This window comes from Homo sapiens, chromosome 1 (genome assembly GCF_000001405.40).
Source record: "Homo sapiens chromosome 1, GRCh38.p14 Primary Assembly".
Taxonomy (NCBI): Eukaryota; Metazoa; Chordata; class Mammalia; order Primates; family Hominidae; genus Homo; species Homo sapiens.
In genome coordinates, this window is record NC_000001.11 from 38,427,038 (window position 1) to 38,448,161 (window position 21,124).

Consider the following 21,124-nt stretch of genomic DNA (forward strand, 5'->3'; position numbering starts at 1 on the left):
GGCAGCAACCCTGAGACACTTTACAGCCCTAGACCCTAAAAGGTCAAAAAGCCGTCTTATTCTCAAAATACATTTTATTACCCAATCTGCTCCCGACATTAAATGCAACTCCAGAAATTAAATTCCGCCCCTCAAACCCCACAACAGGATTTAATTAACCTCGCCTTCAAGGTGTACAATAATAGAAAAAAGTTGCAATTCCTTGCCTCCACTGTGAGACAAACCCCAGCCACATCTCCAGCACACAAGAACTTCCAAACACCTGAATCACAATGGTCAGGCATTCCTCCAGAACCTCCTCCCCCAGGAGCTTGCTACAAGTGCCAGAAATCTGACCACCAGGCCAAGGAATGCCTGCAGCCCGGGATTCCTCCTAAGCCGTGTTCCATCTGTGTGGGACCCCACTGGAAATCGGACTGTGTAACTCACCTGGCAGCCACTCCCAGATCCCCTGGAACTCTGGCCCAAGGCTCTCTGACTGACTCCTTCTTGGCTTAGCAGCGGAAGACTGATGCTGCCCGATGGCCTTGGAAGCCCCGTAGACCATCACGGATGCTGAGCTTCGGGTAACTCTCACTGTGGAAGGTAAGTCCATCCCCTTAGTCAATACAGAGGCTACCCACTCCACATTACCTTCTTTTCAAGGGCCTGTTTCCCTTGCCTCGATAACTGTTGTAGGTATTGACAGCCAGGCTTCTAGACCCCTGAAAACTCCCCCACTCTGGTGCCAACTTGGACAACACTCTTTTATGCACTCTTTTTTAGTTATCCCCACCTGCCCAGTTCCCTTATTAGGCCGAGATATTTTAACTGAATTATCTGCTTCCCTGACTATTCCTGGACTACAGCCACATCTCATTGCCGCCCTTCTCCCCAACTCAAAGCCTCCTTCGCGTCTTTCTCTCGTATCCCCCCACCTTAACCCACAAGTATGGGACATCTCTACTCCTTCCCTGGCAACCGATCACATGCCCATTACCATCCCATTAAAACCTAATCACCGTTACCCTGCTCAACGCCAGTATCCCATCCCACAGCACGCTTTAAAAGGATTAAAGCCTGTTATCACTCGCCTGCTACAGCATGGGCTTCTAAAACCTATAAACTCTCCTTACAATTCCCCCATTTTACCTGTCCAAAAACCGGACAAGTCTTACAGATTAATTCAGGATCTGCGCCTTATCAACCAAATTGTTTTGCCTATCCACCCTATGGTGCCCAACCCGTACACTCTTTTGTCCTCAATACCTTCCTCCACAACTCACTGTTCTGTTCTCGATCTTAAAGATGCTTTTTTTACTATTCCCCTGCACCCCTCGTCCCAGCCTCTCTCTGCTTTCACTTAGACTGACCCTGACACCCATTAGGCTCAGCAAATTACCTGGGCTGTACTGCCGCAAGGCTTCACAGACAGCCCCCATTACTTCAGTCAAGCCCAAATTTCATCCTCATCTGTTACCTATCTCGACATAGTTCTCATAAAAACACACGTGCTGTCCCTGCTGATCGTGTCTGATTAATCTCCCAAACCTCAATCCCTTACAAAACAACAACTCCTTTCCTTCCTAGGCATGGTTAGTGCAGTCAGAATTCTTACACAAGAGCCAGGACCGCACCCTGTAACCTTTCTGTCCAAACGACTTGACCTTACTGTTTTAGCCTAGCCATCATGTCTCCGTGCAGCAGCTGCTGCCGCCCTAATACTTTTAGAGGCCCTCCAAATCACAAACTATGCTCAACTTACTCTCTACATTTCTCATAACTTCCAAAATCTATTTTCTTCCTCATACCTGACGCATACACTTTCTGCTCCCCAGCTCCTTCAGCTGTACTCACTCTTTGTTAAGTACCACAATTACCATTGTTCCTGGCCCAGACTTCAGTCTGGCCTCCCACATTATTCTGGATACCACACCTGACCCTCATTACTGTATCTCTCTGATCCACCTGACATTCACCCCATTTTCCCATATTTCCTTCCTTCCTGTTCCTCACCCTGATCACACTTTATTTATTAATGGTGGTTCCACCAGGCCTAATCACCACCCACCAGCAAAGGCAGGCTATGCTATAGTACAAGTCACTAGCTCACCTCTTATAACCTCTCATTTCCTTTCCATCGTGGAAATCTACCCTCAAGGAAATAACTTCTCAGTGTTCCATCTGCTATTCTACTACTCCTCAAGGATTATTCAGGCCCCCCTCCCTTCCCTACACATCAAGCTCGAGGATTTGCCCCCACCCAGGACTTGCAAATTAGCTTTACTCAACATGCCCGGAGTCAGATAACTAAAATACCTCTTAGTCTAGGTAGACACTTTCACTGGATAGGTAGAGTCCTTTCCTACAGGGTCTGAGAAGCCCACTGCAGTCATTTCTTCCCTTCTGTCAGACATAATTCCTCAGTTTAGCCTTCCCACCTTTATACAGTCTGATAACAGACCAGCCTTTATTAGTCAAATCAGCCAAGCAGTTTTTCAGGCTCTTAGTATTCAGTGAAACCTTTATATCCCTTACAGTCCTCAGTCTTCAGGAAAAGTAGAACAGACTAATGGTGTTTTAAAAACACACCTCATCAAGCTCAGCCACCAACTTAAAAAGGACTAGACAATACTTTTACCACTTTCCCTTCTCAGAAGTCAGACCTGTCCTCAGAATGCTACAGGGTACAGCCCATTTGAGCTCCTGTATAGATGCTCCTTTTTATTAGGTCCCAGTCTCATTCCAGACACCAGACTAACTTAGACTGTGCCCCCAAAAAACTTGTCATCCCTACTATCTGCAGTCTAGTCATACTCCTATTCACCGTTCTCAACTACTCATACATGCCCTGCTCTTGTTTACACTGCCAGTTTACACTGTTTCTCCAAGCCATCACAGCTGATATCTCCTGGTGCTATCCCCAAACTGCCACTCTTAACTCTTGAAGTAAATAAATAATCTTTGCTGGCAGGACTATGCTGAATCTCCTTAGGCACTCTAATTAGATGTCCTAGGTCCTCCCAATTCTTAGAACTTTAATACCTGTTTTTCTCCTTCTCTTATTCCGTTTAGTTTTTCAATTCATACAAAACCGTATCCAGGCCATCACCAATAATTCTAAATGACAAGTGTTTCTTCTAACAGTCCCACAATATCACCCCTTACCACAAAATCTTCCTTCAGCTTAATCTCTCCCACTCTAGGTTCCCACGCCACCCCTAATCCCGCTCGAAGCAGCCCTGAGAAACATCGCCCATTATCTCTCCATACCACCCCCAAAAATTTTCACCGTCCCAACACTTTACCACTATTTCATTTTATTTTTCTTATTAATATAAGAAGACAGGAATGTCAGGCCTCTGAGCCCAAGCTAAGCCATCATATCCCCTGTGACCTGCACATACACATCCAGATGGCCAGTTCCTGCCTTAACTGATGACATTCCACCACAAAAGAAGTGAAAATGGCCTGTTCCTGCCTTAACTGATGACATTGTCTTGTGAAATTCCTTCTCCTGGCTCATCCTGGCTCAAAAGCTCCCCTACTGAGCACCTTGTGACCCCCACTCTGCCCACCAGAGAACAACCCCCCTTTGACTGTAATTTTCCTTTACCTACCCAAATCCTATAAAACGGCCCCACCCCTATCTCCCTTCGCTGACTCTCTTTTTGGACTCAGCCCACCTGCACCCAGGTGAAATAAACAGCTTTATTGCTCAGACAAAGCCTGTTTGGTGGTCTCTTCACATGGACGCGCATGAAACATACCAAACTATTGCCTCTAAGAAACACAATAGTTCTTCCACACAGATAATTTCAAACATACCTGTTAACCAAAACTTTAACAATGACAGGGTGTTACAGCTGTTTCCTCACATGTCAGTTCCAAACAAGTTTCCCTTTAAGAATTCCAGTAATCGATGAAGGTTCTTCTGGTAGGATTTATTGCTTAGAATCATGGGCTTCCTAAATGCAGTCTCCAAAGTTTAATGATTTTGCAGTGTTATCAGAAAATGCCAAGGAAGACCCTAGATACACTGACTTCTCAACTCTCAAGTAACCCTACCAGCTTCAAAGGTCATGAGCTACAAATGTCAACTGATTTATTCCTCACAATAGGCCTGCCAGGTAGTTTTATTGGCCCCATTTTACAGATGAGAAAACAGAGGCTCAGAGAGGCTAAACCTTCCTATACACAGAGGGTTGAGGAACCAGGATTGAAAATCTATGTATTTTCCACTATGCCAACCTGCCTTCAAAGAATGATTTCATGTCCTCCAGTTGTCCAAAGGAACAAAGACTGGGTTAGCCTTGCAAACATATTTTTAAAAGACTCAGATACGAAGCAACCATACATAAGGGGGATGTTACGGAGAGGTTGCACACGAAGGTAATCTTTGTAAATTGAATCACATTGTAAATGCACTGGCTTTTTAGATAATTCCTGAAGCAAATCATTTTGTATTTGTGAATCTGGATGTTCACGTATGTATCCTGTTTGCCTGCTGCAGAAATTACCTGTTCTCAGCTATCACAAAATAGATGCACAAAAGAAATAAATCAAAGACCAACACTCAGAAGCAGGGAATAGAATACTAGTTCAAGGAGGGGTCACTGACCTGCATAAAACATTCAAGATAACAGATAAATGAAGCGCAACTCACAACTAGCTCTAGTTGAGTGTGGTTGTGTATGTGATCTATTCTTTTTGAATGGAGCATAGACAGGGAGACAGTGCACAGAGGCAGGGATGGAGTCAGAAAGAGCAGGAGGAAGGGAGAGAACCATAAAAACAGAAAAAAAGGGAGTGAGATAGAAGGAATAGGAAACAAGGAGAATGAAGCTGGCTGAAAGGCAGAGATGGGAGAGAGAGGGATGGGGACATCAGCCAAAAACTGATTAGAGAGACAAAAGGAAAAGGAAAGAAGGACATGAAGAAAGGAAACAGTGAGGATCTAGGGAAGATAGAGGGTGGGAGGGAAGAAAAGTGCTCAGTAAATACAGCTGCCGTTCCCTGCAGTACCTGCAAGGCACTCTGCTCCACAGCCTGTGCCCGCCTACCCACCTCAGTTGGTTAAAACCTCCCACCATGGGCCTGCTTTCAGGGCACACCTGACTCAGACCCCCCAGGCCCCCAACCCTTCCCTGACCAGGACTTTGCAGGAGCAGTGCACTCCATCCCCAGGAGGCAAGCCTGCTACAATTTATTGCCCAGAAAATCCATAATCTCTCCCTGGGACATGAGGCCTCAAAACCCATTCCTGCATGCATAACCAGAAAAGAGAAGACCTTGGCTAGGCAGGGTGGCTCATGCCTATAATCCCAGCACTTTGGGTGGCCAAGGCAGGTGGATCACTTGAGGTCAGGAGCTCGAGACCAGCCTGGCCAACATGGTGAAATCCCATCTCTACTAAAAATACAAAAATTAGCCAGGCATGTTGGCACATTCTTGTAATCCCAGCTACTTGGGAGACTGAGGCAGGAGAATCGCTTGAACCCAGGAGGTGGAGGTTGCAGTGAGCTGAGATCGTGCCACTGCATGCCAGCCTGGGCGACAAAGCAAGACTCCGTCTCAAAAAGAAACAAAAAACAAACAAACAAACAAAACAAAACAAAAAAGACCTGGAGCATCCATCTTCAAGTCTCTAATGGGCAGCCTTATGACACAAAGTCTCTGTGCAGATCCAAGGCCAGGAATATGACCGATAATTAGGCACCACACAGAGAGATCTTTGTTAAGGAAAAAAAAATGCTAATTGATCTGCCACAGATGAAATTTGCTGTTTCAGGAGCTGGTGAGTTCCCCATTACAGGAGAACTCATGCAAGCAGAGGCTGGAAACCAAACCTACCTGTGATTGAGCTGAATGAGCCCAGATCTCTTCTATGCTTCCGATTTCTCCTAAAACCTTTGAAAAGTAGCTTTTAAATCCATCATTACTCTTAAAATCTTCCTCTATTTATGTGATTAGAAAACTCCTTCCATCACATATATAGTTCAAGGAGAAAGTTCATCCAAGTCCCCATTCAAATGATCACAAATTCTGAATCAGTGGGTTTTGAATTAGTGGGGTTTCCCGGGAGAATTTAAATGTTCCACCCAGGAGACATGAAGAAGAAGGTTCTCGCCTTCTCTGGGAACACAGCCCAAGAAAAGAAGAGGAGATGGCAGGCAGGCTGCCTCTTGTGCATTCCAATAGACCCGCTGCCTCTCAGAATCTCAATGTTCCAGCCCCAGAACAGTTGGTGAAGATGGGATTTCAGGGAAGGAGTGAAAGCAGAACTGCCAGTCATTCAAGCATCCGGTGCTGGGGAGGGTGGTTTCTCCAGGGGATGTGCCAAGTCCGGGGCCCTGACCCTTCCTGCAGGCTTCCATCAAATGTCATCACTTCCACGAGGCCTGACCTGACCCTTGCTTCAATAACTCGGACAGTACCCTGAGCTTCCTGCATACACAGCGCTTTCATCCTGGCTAGTTACTATCTGTCTCCCTGCACCACTGGGACAGAAGTCATGCTTGGGGCCCTTACTATCTGGAATGGAAACACTTCATGAGGTTACAGGGACCACAGGCAGCAGGAGTTGCCCATTTCCTCTTGCTCCTTGGATGCTGAGTGCTTTTTTTTTTTTTTTTTTGAGACGGAGTTGTGCTCTTTTTGCCCAGGCTGGAGTGCAATGGAGCGATCTTGGTTCACTGCAACCTCTGCCTCCCGGGTTCAAGTGATTCTCCTGACTCAGCCTCGCGAGTAGCTGGGACTACAGGCGCCCACCAACACGCCCGGCTAATTTTTGTGTTTTTACTAGAGATGGGGTTTCACTATGTTGGTCAGGCTAGCCATGAACTCCCGACCTCGTGATCCACCCACCTCGGACTCCCAAAGTGCTGGGATTACAGGCGTGAGCCACCGCGCCCGGCCAAGTGCTTTTTGATCTAACCAGTTGTGGGTTACTTTTAGAGCTTTGCTTTATCTCCACCTCTGAGCCTCACTTGACCCATTTCTGGTTGCCTGCTTCTTATTCTCAGAACTGTCTTTTGTCCCCCTCCCGCCTACTGGCTCAGATAACCTTCCCTTAGGGTTCCAGCCTCCTTGGGATTTGCCCAGCCCCTGCACTGCCTAATGAGGGCTCTTCACCTGTCTGGGTTCTTCCTTTTCTGCCAGGGCAGTCCTACTTGCTCATACTCTGGGCCAGCCCAAGAATTCTCCCTCTGTCCTCCAACTGTCCTGACATGCTGAGAATTCCATGGAGGCAGAAACTGTGTCTCACCCCTCTCCGGATCCCCGACCCCTACAACAGTTGCCTACAGCAAGGAGCTCAGTGAAAAAAAAAAAATGTCAAATTAAAATTGAACTGAAAGGCAAAGAAAAGTAAATGCTTTCTTCTGTAATGCAAGATTTTAGGAAGGAGGGCTTAAGACAAATCAGGGGAGTGGACTAAAAGATTTATTGTTTACAGTTTCCCTCCCCCTCTCCTAAACAATCATTCATTGGACCCTACAGTTATGTATTAAAATGGCCCTCAGGGATGACCAGCAGTGGCCAAGGCCCTGGCCCAGCTTGATGCATGCATGGGTTGCACCACAGGGGAGCACCTGCCTCTGAGCCTCCCTCTCTGGAATTGTCCAAAATTATCCTCTTGGCTGTGAGCACCATTGGCTGGCACTATGCAGTGACCATCCTCCCTTTCAGAATGCTCATTGCATCTGGGTCTTAGGGAGGGGGATGGAGGCAGCCCAATGCTCTGTTATTTGTCCCACAAACATGATTTCACTTGAAATCTGATTTCCATTTGCTGAATGCCTCCACGAATGGGCAGGAGATTGCTATGTTGTTGCATGTCACACTGAATTTGGCCAGCTTCAGAAATTCCCTACAGAAGATGCCTTCTTGTTAAATTGCCAGGTCTTTTGTCATTGTAACCCATCTAATCATCAACATTCAGTTTCTTCTGTTCGCTAGTCCTCTTGCTTCCCCATGTATAACAAAATTCATGCAATCCCAATGGAGACTGGTTTGGATGCAGTTTAATAGCCTTTCATCATTGACTTCCAGCCCACTTCTCAATGCACAGGTCCAACTTGGGACAGAATAATATATTGCAACCAAGTTCAGCTCAAGACCTATTTGTTGAGTGCCCGCGATGTGCCAGGCCCTGTGCCAGGAGCTAGAGACATAGCTTGCTTAGTGGCTGACTTTTCTGTTGCTTGCATCGCAGAATCTAGGGGCTAGATTCATATAGCATTAAACAAAGGATGGGTACAAGTGCTGTTCATCTAGGACTTGGAATCAGGGACATCACTCTAGGGTTTCCATTCAATAAAAACACTTTGTACTAGACCTTGTGCTTGGTACTAGGGAAATAAAATGAATGAGACAATTTCTTTTCCCAAGGAGCTCACAATCTGGGGATGGGAGAGATGGATGAATAAAGAGAGGATTGCAGTAGTGTTTGATGGATGATGTGATAGAGGAAAATTTGGGGTGCTGGGGGACCCCACCCTGCACAGATTAAGGAGGAATGACAAATGTGAGAGAAGGCTTCCCAGGGTATGTGACATTTGAACTGAATCTTGAGGGATGAATGTGAGCTTGCCAAGGGAATGTAAGAAGTAACATCTAAACAGCAGAAGCAAAATTACAAAAATGAGAGGAGGCCCACAAAGTTCACGGAACACTAATTACTTGAACATCCAAGGGAAAGAAGAGAAATAGATGCATTTGGAGGGAAGATAAGAGTGAACTTATAAGAAGTTCCTTAGGTTAGCTAAGGAATCAATCTATTGCCCTAAAATGCTGGAATCCAGGAGATCAGTTAGAAAGCTTTTGTAATAATCCCAAAGACAACTTATAAGCGTCCAAACAAAAGGAGTAGTTGTGAGAAAAGGGATAAGCGCATTCTTTGTTTTTGAGATGGAGTTTCTCTCTTGTTGCTCAGGCTGGCGTGCAATGGCGTGATCTCAGCTCACTGCAACCTCCGCCTCCCGGGTTCAAGCAATTCTCCTGCCTCAGCCTCCTGAGTAGCAGGGATTATAGGCGCCCACCACCACTCCCAGCTAATTTTTTTGTATTTTTAGTACAGATGGGTTTTCGCCATGTTGGCCAGGCTGGTCTCAAGCTCCTGACCTCAGGTGATCCACCCACCTTGTTCTCCCAATGTGCTGGGATTAGCGGTGTAAGCCACTACGCCCGGCCGGATAAACGCATTCGAAGACACTTTTTGAAGATCAAAGCTGCAGGATTTGATGATGCGTTAAACATGGGAGGTGGAATAGATAAGGATAAAATCAGAGATTATGTTTCCTGCTTGAGTGGAAGGGTAAATTACCAAGGCCTGTAGAACAGAACTGACAATATAATAATAATAACAATAATAATGGTATTTTAAAAGAATCACTAATGTGAGGGACTTGTAGGTAGAGTTTTTAAAACTCCTAAATAAAATTAAAAAGCAAGGACAAAGCAACAAGGAAAAAGACCTATATAGAGAACAACAACAAAAAGGAAATCAATTGAAAAAGTAAAGGTATTTTTAAAGATGAATATAGAATATCTATAACAGAAGCAATAATCAAAGACTTTTTTTAAAAAAAAAGGAAGAAAAAGCAAAGCTTTCTGAACTGAAATCACAACAGAATACACAGACAGAAAGATTCACCAAGTTGAGAATAAAAATAAATAAAAGAAGGAATATTGAAATCTTTCACCACAGTCCTATTTCTGATTATTTATTCTTACACTTCGAATATATTTTGTTGTATATATTTAAATGCAAAATTATTTTGTGCCTAAAAGTTCTTGAAATTATTCTTTCATTATAAAGTTGGCATCCTGTCAATACAACCCAAGTTTTCCAGATCTTGCTAGCATGTAGAAACAAATGAAACTACCGTTTTTGTTCTCACCCACTCATGCAGGAGCTATAGACTTCCTCAAAGTCTCTCTCTGCTAGATTTAGGAGTACCCAGGTGGCAGGGGTTCAGTTTAGCTCATTAACAAGCTCACTCCTAATGGATGTACCTCCTGTTCCACGAGACATCTATGGGCGAGCTCCAGATCTTCTAGTACCATAATTTATCATCAGACTTCTATTGGTAACTGACATGCCTATCTGGTGCCACTGCTCTTCTTCTAGGTTCATGAATGACATTGGTTTATGCTTTAACTTCTCTTACAATGTCTATGTCTGTTTTCATTATCAAGATAACATTGGCCTCATAAAATAAGTTAGAAGGTGTTCCCCCTTCCTGCCTTTATTTTTTGAGTTTGTGTTTGGCAGAATTATCACTGAAGCCATCCAGGTCTGGAGTTTTCTTTTGTGGGAAGATTTTAAATTATAAATTATATTTCTTATATAAACTTATATGACAGTTCATATTTTCTATGTGTTATTCACAGTCAGTTTAATTTGTGTCCTTTTTTTTTTTTTTTTTTGAGACAAAGTCTCACTCTGTTACCCAGGCTGGAGTTCAGTGGCGTGATCTCAGCTCACTGCAACACCCGCCTCCCAGGTTCCAGTGATTCTCCTCCCTCAGCCTCCCGAGTAGCTGGGACTACAGGTGTACACCACCCCACCTGGCTAATTTTTGTATTTTTAGTAGAGATGGGGTTTCACCACATTGGCCAGGCTCGTCTCGAACTCCTTACCTCAAGTGATCTGCCTGCCTTGGCCACCCACAGTGCTGGGATTACTGGTGTGAGACACCATGGCTGGCCTAATTTGTGTCATTCAAAGACTACGTTTATTTCATCTAAGTTGAATTTTTTGGTGTAATGTTGTTGGAATTACTTCCTATACCTTAATGTCTGTAGGATCTATAGGGCTGTCCTTTTTCTTTCATGATACTGGTAATTTTATGTCTTTACTCTTTTATTCTTGATTAGTCCAGCTAGAGGTTTTATTGATTTTGTTGATCTTTTCAAGGAAACTGTTTTTCGTTTCATTGATGTTTCTCTGCTGTTTATTTTCTATTTATTGATTTCTACTATTTAGTTTCCCTACTTCTGCTTATCTTAGGTTTAATTTGTTTTCCTTTGTCTAGCTTCTTAGGTTGAAATTAGATAATTGAGATGAGACCTTTCTTCCTTTCTAATATAAACATGTAAAGCTATAAATATCTCTCTAAGCACCGCTTTAGCTGCATCCCCCAAATTTTGACATGTCATATGTTCGTTTTCATTCAGTTGAAAATATTTTCTAATTTCCCTTGTGATTTCTTCTTTGATCCCTGGGTTATTTAGAAGTGCATTGTTGAATTTTCAAATATTTGGGGAGTCTCCAGGTACCTTGTTTTATTATTGGTTTCTAAATGAATCGTGTTTTGTTTACAGAATGTATCCTGTATGTCTGAATCTTTTTAAACATAGTGATAGTGTTTGATATCCCAATGTGTAGTTTAGCTTGTTCTAAGTGCACTTCTCCTGTTCTTGGGTGGCAGTTTTTATATGTGTCAAAAAGGTCAAATTGGCTGATAATACCGTTTGGGTCTTCCATATGTTCACTTATCTTCTGACTAATTGTTCTATTAATTATTGAAAGAGGAATGTGGAAATCTCCAACTATGCTTGTGAATTTGTCTATTTCTCCTTTCAGTTTGGTCAGTTTTTGCTTCATATTTTGAAGCTCTGTTATGAGGTGTGCTTAGGATTATTATACCTTCTTGATTAATTGACTCAATCGTCTTTGTGAATATCCCTAATAACATTCCTTCTTCTGAAATCTGCTTGTCTTGATATTAATATAGCCACTCTACCTTTCTTTTGATTAGTGTTTGCATGGTATATCTTTTTGCATTATTTCAGTTTTAATGTATTTTGTTTATATTTAACATGTATTTCTTATAGACATAATATACTTAGGTGTTGCTTTTTTAACTATATGACAATTTCTGCCTTTTAATTGAAATACTTAAACTAGGTACACTTTTATGTAATTATTGACATGTTCGAATTTAAGTCAAACATCTTGTTTGTTTTTTTCTGTGTGTCCCATTTATTCTCTATTCCTTTTATCCTCCCTCACTGCTTTTCTTTGGATTGGTGTTTTTTAATATTCCAATAGTACTACTGGCTTATTAGTTATCACTATTTCATAATGGTTTCTCTAAGATTGACAGTATGCAACAGTCTACTTCCCAATAATGCTAAATCACTTTATATATAAAATATAGAAACTTTGTGACAGTATATTTTCATTCCCTTCTTCCCATTCTTTGTACTGTTACTGCCATACATTACACTTCTATGTACATTAAAATGTATACATTGTACTACTTTTCCTTTAAGCAGACAATAGTCTTTTAAAGAAATTAAAAAATGATAGAAAAAGTATTCGATGGTTACTCGTGTATTTATTCTTTCTAGCATTCTTCATTATTTTGTTTATATCCATGTTTGCATCTGGCCTCATTTTCCTTTAACCTAAACAACTTTCCTTAATAATTGTGCTGGCCACCAATTCTTTTAGCTTTTGTTTATCTAAAAAAAAATCCTAGGCCAGGCATGGTCGCTCATGCCTTTAATCTCAGCACTTTGAGAGGCAGAGGAGAGTGGATCACTTGAGTTCAGAAGTTCGAGAGCAGCCTCACTAACATGGTGAAACCCTGTCTCTACTAAAAATACAAAAATTAGCTGGGCATGGTGGTGCATGCCTGTAATCCCAGCTACTCAGGAGAATGAGGCAGGAGAATCACTTGAACTCAGCAGGCAGAGGCTGCAGTGAGCTGAGACCATACCACTGCTCTCCAGCTTGGGTGATAGAGGGAGACTTTGTCTCAAAATAATAATAATAAAGCAACCCTTATTTTTCCTTTATTTTTGAAGGCTGTTTTCACTGGATATAGAATTTTAAGGTGATAGCACTGGTTGGCTGATCATTTCAAGTTATCATTCCATTGTCTTCTAGTTAGTTTCTGAATAAAAGTTTGGGACTATTCTCATATGGGTTCACTAGTATGTAATGTGTTTTTACATTTTAGCTGCTTGTAAGATATTCTCTTTATTACCAGTTTTCAGCATTTGATAATGATGTGTCTTGGTGTGGTTTTCCTTGTGTTTATCCTATTTAAGGCTTATTGAGTTTCTTAGGTCTATGTGTTCATCAAATTTGGAAAATTTTATGACTTTTTTTTCAAATATCTTTCTATCCACTCCCCACTGTTTTCTGAGACTTTCATTATTCAAATATTAAATTTTACATTGCCCACAGATTGCTCAGCCTCTAATTAATTGTTTCAGTCTTTTTTTCTCTCCCTGATTCACTTTAGATGGTTTCATTACTTATGCCTTCAAGTACACTGGTGTTTTCTTCTGCAGTATTTAATCTGCTGTTAATCTCATTCAGTGAACATTTTATTTTTGGTACAGTATATTCAATCTCTAGAAGTTTCATTTGGTTGTTTTATATCCTCATTATATTCATGTTTTCCTTTAAATCCTCTGTCATATTCATAATAGCTGTTCTTAAAATTTCTCTGTTAATTCCACCATCTCTGTCATTTCCAATGTTGTTTTAATGATTAATTTTCTCCTAGTTATGGGTCACATTATCCTGCTCCTTAGATTGTCTACTAATTTTTTATTGCATGCTGGACATTGTCAGCATTATGTTGTTAATTCCTGGATTTTGTTGTCATCCTTTAAGGAATGTTAAATTTTGCTCTGGCAGACAAATAGGTTGCTTACAAATCAGCTTGATCCTTTCAAGGGTAAAGCAATCTATGTGTCTGTGTATGAGTACAGGTATGTGTATGTGCATGTGTATAACAGGTTTAAAATATACCTTACTCTAGGGCTGGTTTAGCTTTATTACTAAGGCAAGACATTTGGGGTTCTCTTCTGAAATTTTCTGGATATTTACAGACCTCTCCATCCTGAAAGGTCAGAATTTTAACTTATCCTTGCCCTATGTAGATTCTGAGAATTATTCAGCTTATAATCCTCTGGGCACTTTGTCTACCATTGGGTACCTTAGGATTCAGCCACAGACTCCAGGGGACAGCCATGTGGATACTTGGAGCTCCTTTTCTGTAAATTATTTTCTGCAAATTATAACTATTTCATCATCCTTCTCTTTGATGTCTGTTTCTTCAAATCAACAAAATTTGGGTTCCCTTTTATTGAACCATGATCGAGAAAATCCCTGCAGGCAGAAATCTGCAGTAACTGTAGGGCTCACCTTGTTTGCTTACCTGCTCACAAGGATCACAATCCTGCACTGCCAGTTGTTCAATGTTTGAAAACAGTTGTTTTATATCTTTCGTCTAGTTTTCTTATTGTTTATATTGGGAAGGAAATCTGATCCCAGTTACTCTGCCATGGCCATATGTAGAAGGTACACTGCTCCTCTTCCAGGAATCTATGGGATACAACATGGATTTATTTGTTAAGGACTCCTGTTTCTTGCACTTCTCTTCTAGACTATTGTAACAGCTTTCTAAATGCCTGTTCTAACTCCAGACTCACTCACTCCATACTGCTGCCATAGTAATATTTATACCAATCGAATTGCATGGTGCCAAACGCACTAAAGCAGAAGTGAATAAATAACTCCCTTTACCTTTTGCATTATACAAGGATCCCAAGGACATACCACTGGTTTCTTACTTTTTTGCCACCCTTTTAGGAAAATAGCCCTTTAAGTTTTAAATTATAATTTGCATGCTCTCCAGAAGGCTTGTATTTGAAAAATTACAGAGAATGGGCCAAAAGGCAAATTCCAATGATAGATAACACATTGTCCTAAGAATGGTATTTTCCTCTGGTGACTACAATTTTCTCTCCAGGTCACATTCATTGCACTTGGTATCTTTATCCTTACTGATGAGCCTTCTAAGGTCTCAGGCAAAAAGGCTTTTAGCAAGAGAAAGCTTACCGTCTCACAAGACATGTCCAGCCATATCCCAACCCCTGCAATGGACACAGCTTGAATTATCTCCTAAGAGACCCTTTAGCCTCTGTTCACATAGATCTGGAATCTGAACAGAAACACCCAGCCTAAACCTGGGATTCCTTCTCCATGAAACAAGACTCTATTTTCTTGTTTAATTCTTTATTGTCCCAAATTATATTTGCCTGATTGACACTGTGGGCCTTGATTTCCTTTCTGTTTGCATTAATTTGCCTCATGCACTTTTGCCTATCCCTTTGCTTCTTATTCTTTTTTCCCAACTTTGTTTTAGTTGATTATCTTGTAAATAGAATATAGTTGAATATCATTTTAAATCCAGTCTGAGAGTCTTTATGTTTTAATAGAGGAATTTAGTACATTTATACACATTGTAATAACTAGTTATTTTGTTTTTTCCCTCCTGTCATCTTGTCATTAGCTGTGCTGTTTTTTTTTTTAACTATTGGTAAATGGTTTCTATTTTCTTTGAATTTATCTTCTTTAATGTATTAGAAGATAAATGGTGGCTCTAATTCCACTATTAGCAACCTCAACAGTTTTCAAAAATAGTTTTCAATTTACATTCCTCTAATTATCAGAATTGAGTATGGATTGGAATCTTTTGAGATCATTTTATATTAGATGAGTAGTTAGGCACACTTTTACTTTCTTTTTCCAACTTCATTCTTCATGGTTGTTTTAAAGAAACTAAGGTTTCAGAAAGATTATTTTATTATACTATCCTTATTTTACATCATGTAAAATTTTCTCCAAAATAAATGTTAGAAATTTGGATAATACCTAGACATTTAAGAATTATTTATATTTATCTTCATTGTTCAGTTGCATTGTTCTCCTCTCAACCTTTTATGCCGTGATTTTTCCATTTTTGAACCTTTCATTTCTTTCATGTCTGCCTCTTCTGTGGAAGGTGTTCAAGTGCCTTTTGCTTAGCAATTGTAGCAAAGATTGTTAGTTGTCTTCTCATTCTCTTCTTCCTTATTAACAGAGCCCTGATTTCCTTGGGATAGAATAAGCACTACGAAAAACAAAAACAAAAACAAAACAACCACATTTCTCACTTTCCTTTGTGGATAGGGTGGCCAATACAATAAAAGCAAAGGTTTTAGGCAAGGCTTGTAGAAAAGCTCTTCGAAGCCACCAACCACCAACTTAATTGAAAAGTACATTCTTTTTATCTTTTTCCCCTTCCTCTTTTTTCCTTCCTGGAATGGGGGCATAATGGCTGCAGCTCTGGCAACCATCCTGTGACCATGAGTGAGTTGACTTTGAGGATGAAAGCCACAATAAGGGGGGTGGAATGGAAAGATGGAAGACGCCTGGGTCCCTGATGACCCTGTCATGCTACTACTTTACTTATTGCTAAATTTCATGTTACATGAAAGAAAAATAAGCCTCCGTATTTCTTTTTCTTTTATTTTTTTTTTGACAGAGTCTTGCTCTGTTGCCCAGGCTGGAGTGCAGTGATGCGATCTTGGCTCACTGCAACCTCCACCTCCTGGGTTCAAGCAATTCTCTGCATCAGCCTCCCGAGTAGCTGGGATTACAGGTACCCACCATCACGCCTGGCTGATTTTTGTATTTTTAGTAGAGACAGGGTTTCACCATCTTGGCCAGGCTGGTCTTGAACTCCTGACCTTGTGATCCACCTGCCTCAGCCTCCAAAAGCACTGGGATTACAAGCGTGAGCCACCACGCCCAGCCAAGCCTCCATCTTTCTTAAGCTGCTCTGATTTCAGCCCTTGTTATTAGCAGTAAAACATAATTACTAGCTTTATAGCAAGGAATGGGGGGAGGACATTCCAGATTGAGAGAACAGCAAGAGCAAAACCATGGAGGTATGAAAATATGGTAAGGTCCGGGAATAACAAAATGTCCAGAGCAGCTGGAATCCAGGATATGTGGTAAGAGATAGAGAGGATGTCAAAAAAGTAGGTAGAAGGCAGTTCTCAAATATATTCCTTTCTAAAAAGTAGGATAAAATCCAAATCATTTTATCTGGGGTTCAAATCTTTTCACCACCTGATTCCCTACTTTTCCAGACTTATTAACTACTTCTCATATACCGATGGACACTGACTCATGGTGGTTCAACTTACAATTTTTTGACTTCATGATGATGTGATAGTGAAACGCATTTGGTAGAAACCATACTTTGAATCAAATTTGAATTTTGATCTTTCCCTGGGCTAGCAATATGTGGTACCATACTCTTGCTCGATGCTGGGCAATGGCAGTGAGCTGAAGCTCCCAGTCCAGTCACATCATTGCAAGGTTACAACAGATGTTCTACGATGTACTGTGTTGCCAGATGATTTTGCCCAACTGTAGGCTAATGTCAGTGTTCTGAGCACATTTCAGGTAGACTAGGTTAAGCTATGATGTGCAGTAGGTTAGTGTATTAAATGCATTTTTGACTTACAATAGTTTCAAGTAAAGATGGGTTTATTAGATGTAGCCCCAGGAATCCAGGAGCATCCGTACTTGGAATGCCAGACACATGGAATCACTTGGCATTGCTACAATTCATGAGTAGTTTCGACTTTGCGCCTTTGTACTTGCTTTTCCCTTTCCCCACCTCTCTGCCTGACTAACGGCTGCTTAGCACTTTAGACAAAGCCCAAGATTATCCCTGCCCCTTGGCTCTCCACTACCCCACACATCTGGTTTCTGTGTTTCTCTTGTGGCTTCCCACAGCTTTCTATTACTACTTCTGTAAGAGATCTTATATTCCACTCAGGGACTTATCTGCCTCTGCTCTGAGATCACAAGCTTCTAAAGGGTGAGAACTCTCTTACATTTAATTACTCTGCTCCGTAGTTAGCAGAATGCCTACTACATACCAAATGTGCAATAGGTAATTGTTCATCAGGTAAACAATTGAGTGAATAAATGGGATGAAAAGCTTTGAATGCCAGGTCAAGGAATTCCAGCTTCGTCCTGCAAGCTGTGGGAGGCAGCAGAATGAAATCACAGGCGTAAATGTGGCTGGAATTCTGCTCTCGTGGCCGGTATGAAAGAGAGACTGGGAAGCGGGGAAAGCCTGGAAGTGGGGAGACTTGTCAGGACACAGCTGGAGCAGCTCCCAACCAGGGTCCCTGCCCTGTCTTGAAATGGTTAAGGTGGCCGAGGCACACGCCTCTGCAGAGGAGAAATTTCCCTGTCCTTGCCTAAGTGAATGGCTGGGATTAAAGTGACAGCCCACCTTAGTGATGGCGGCGTAATTGGTTGTTCAGCTCTGTCCTTGTCAGAGCGCTGACAGTTCTGCAGATGCCCTGCTCAGCTCTCCAAAGGTTAGCCTCAGCTGGTGCGGCTGTTCATTAATCATTCCTCCCTGACAGGCCTTGGTGCAGCCCACAGCTGCCACGCCAGCCCCCACGGTCCCCACCCCACCCGGCCAGGCTAGAGGCAGTCTGAGCTCCTCAAGGGACTGGTCCCCACAGAGGGAGACACGCAGTCTGTGCGCCTCCACCACACTGCTGCCACTGCTGAATGAAGAACACTGATAAAAGAATTTCCCTGGGTTCTCTCTTCCTGGAACTAGGGTTTGAATCACCTTACAAGCTCTCCTGACATCCTTGACTTTATCTGCTGCTCTGTTCCACACTCACAGAAGCTTCTTACTGAGAGGAGGGCAACCCTAGCCCAAGAGTTCCAGAAAGACAAGAAGGCCAATGGATCTGGGGTACGTGTGCTGAGAAGACACAGGACCCGGCTTAGGGCCTGAATCCTGGGCAGAATGTGCATCACCTCCAAGCTGTGAATTCCACACGCTATAAAAGATGCTTATGAACCACTAGTTATGACTCAAAACAGGACAGGTGTATTTGTACATAAGTTGGTTTTATGTCAAGAATATTAGGGAAAGGATTATCCTTCTGGTCTTTGGGGCAGAATAAGCTGAAAGCAGGCTGGGGAATCTAATTCCCTTGGCTCAAAAGAGACCACTCCTCTCCTTTGCTCTCTCCCTTACTCACTTCTTTTCCCTTCCATCTTCAGCATGGTGGGTGGACTGAGCCAAGGATGGTGGATGGGATTCTAATCAAACCAGTGAGGTTGAAGGAAGGCTTGAGGGGTCCAGGCAAGTAGGGAGAAGAGAGGACAGGGAACCGGGCCTGGGTGGGGACACAGCAGAGGCTGTAGTGTGGGTCAGGAAGTATGGGCAGAGTGGAGGGTGAGGTTAGACTTGGGGTGATATGGTGGGGTTGATTAGAAAAATCCTTTGCCCAAAAGTCCTTGCCTAAGTAAATGGCTAGGATTAAAGTGACATAGACCAAGAGTGTAAAACGCCTTTCTGGGCTTTGGCTCTCAGGCTGCCCAATTCCTCAGGACCTCCTCCCGCTGTCTTTTCTCGTTCCTTTTCATTTTCTTTGATTTTTCATCCCCTAATTTGGCCATTTGGCTCCCCTTCTTCCATCTGCTACCTTGGTCTGCTACATCAAGTAGATCTGATCTTGCTCTCAACTAACCAGATCCAGAATTAGAAATTCCATTACAGTTCCCTGCCCAGCCTTCCTTCAAAAGCAAAAGCATGTTCCCAAGTCCCGGGTCTGGGCTCCAGGGCTGCCAGTTAGTATGTGCACAATGCAGGAGTCATCATTTCCCCCCATCGATTAGCTGTCCCCCAGCAAAGTTTCCAGAGGAGCAAACAAGGACGCTGGGAGATTAGCATTCAGCTAGTTTTTCAGACTCCAAGCCACAAACACCTGCATTTTCACATCCAAAGAACCCACACACAGTCAGTCGAGAAACCAAGAGAGTACAGGCTGAGCTCCCCCAAATTCACGCCCAGATAAATAAGATACCTTTCTCAAATGCTTCCTGATGACAATCAATATCTCCCACATGTACCTAGCAGCCTTTCACATACATCCTTCTGCTTAATATTTACAATAGTCTCTCATGGAAGATGAGATTATCCACATTTTCACTTGAGAAAACTGAGGCTGAGAAAGGATCAGTGCTCAAAATCATACAGGCCCCTTAATGCTCAGAGGCAAGTCCCTTGAGTTTACAAATCCTACATCCTTCCTTCTTATCACGCTGTCACTAAGGGGCTTGCTGCCGCTTTAAGCCAGGGCTTCTCAACAGCAGTACTCTTGGCATTTGGGGCCAAGGAATTCTTTGTTGTGGGCACTGCCCTGTGCCTTGTAGGATGTCTAGCAGCATCCTTGGCCTCTGCCTACCAGATGCCAGTAGCACCTCCTCCCCAAGTTGTGACATCAAAAATGTCTCCAGACATTGTCAAATGTCCCCTGGGGAAGGGGGACCAAAATCACCTCTAGCTGAGAACTGCTGTGTTATGCTCTTCCACTCTGTGTCACTCTTCACGTTACCTACCTGAGGCAAAGGGCTGTTTTCCATGCTTGAGACAGACCCTCCTCATACACGAGAAGTCAAGGACTATAGCAAGGTCAGATGCCTATGAAAAGACTGCTTGGCAATGATAATGAAGAATGAGAAGGGCATTTTGAGCAGAAATCCAGAAGACACATATTGTTGGGGAGGGGTATATATTGGGAAGTTGTTCCAAACTGCCATCTTTTAATCTATCCATCATTCTCTCCATCTTCTGATTCATTAATCCATCCATCATATGTCATTCTACTCATTTTACGTCCATTCCCTGGTGTAAGGTCTGTGCAAGGCACCAAATGGGAGAGAAAAGTCACCCATGGATCCTTCCCATGGGGCTGTGGAAGGCAGCTGGAGCCTCAGCTCAGCAGCAGTAGACTACGTAGCCTGAGCAAGCCTTTGGGCTTCAGTTTCCTAAAACTAAAAATAATATGTTCCTTGTAAAATCATAGTAGTGACTTAATGAGCTAATGTATGTGAAAAATGCTTTATATGCGATACCAATATTAGCTGTTATTATGGACAGAAGTTATGTTGGACAAGTACAAGGAGACCATCGTACTTATTTTTTTATTTTTTATTTTATTTATTTATTTGTTTATTTTGAGACAGAGTCTTGCTCTGTTGCCCAGGATGGAATGCAGTGGTGTGATCTCAGCTCACTGCAACCTCCACCTCCTAGTTTCAAGCAATTCTCCTGTTTCAGCCTCCCAAGTAGCTGGGACTACAGGCATGTGCCACCATGCCCAGCTAATTTTTGTATTTTTGGTAGAGACAGCGTTTCACCATGTTGGCCAGGCTGGTCTCGAACTCCTGACCTCCAGTGATCCCCCCGCTTTGGTCTCCCAAAGTGCTGGGATTACAGGCGTGAGCCACTGCGCCCGG

The 21,124-nt window shown here is 42.5% G+C and overlaps 2 long non-coding RNA genes across 2 annotated transcripts in view; both read right to left on the minus strand.

Moving 5' to 3' along the window:
- Positions 1-21,124, minus strand: part of LOC105378657 (uncharacterized) — a 203,343-nt gene that overhangs the window by 126,840 nt on the left and 55,379 nt on the right. The window lies entirely within an intron of this gene.
- LOC107984943 (uncharacterized) lies at positions 546-15,902 on the minus strand. The gene is made up of 3 exons (XR_001737993.2): positions 15,665-15,902; positions 14,166-14,332; positions 546-576 (listed from the first exon to the last, which is right to left on the minus strand). It is a non-coding gene; the product is annotated as an uncharacterized LOC107984943 (long non-coding RNA).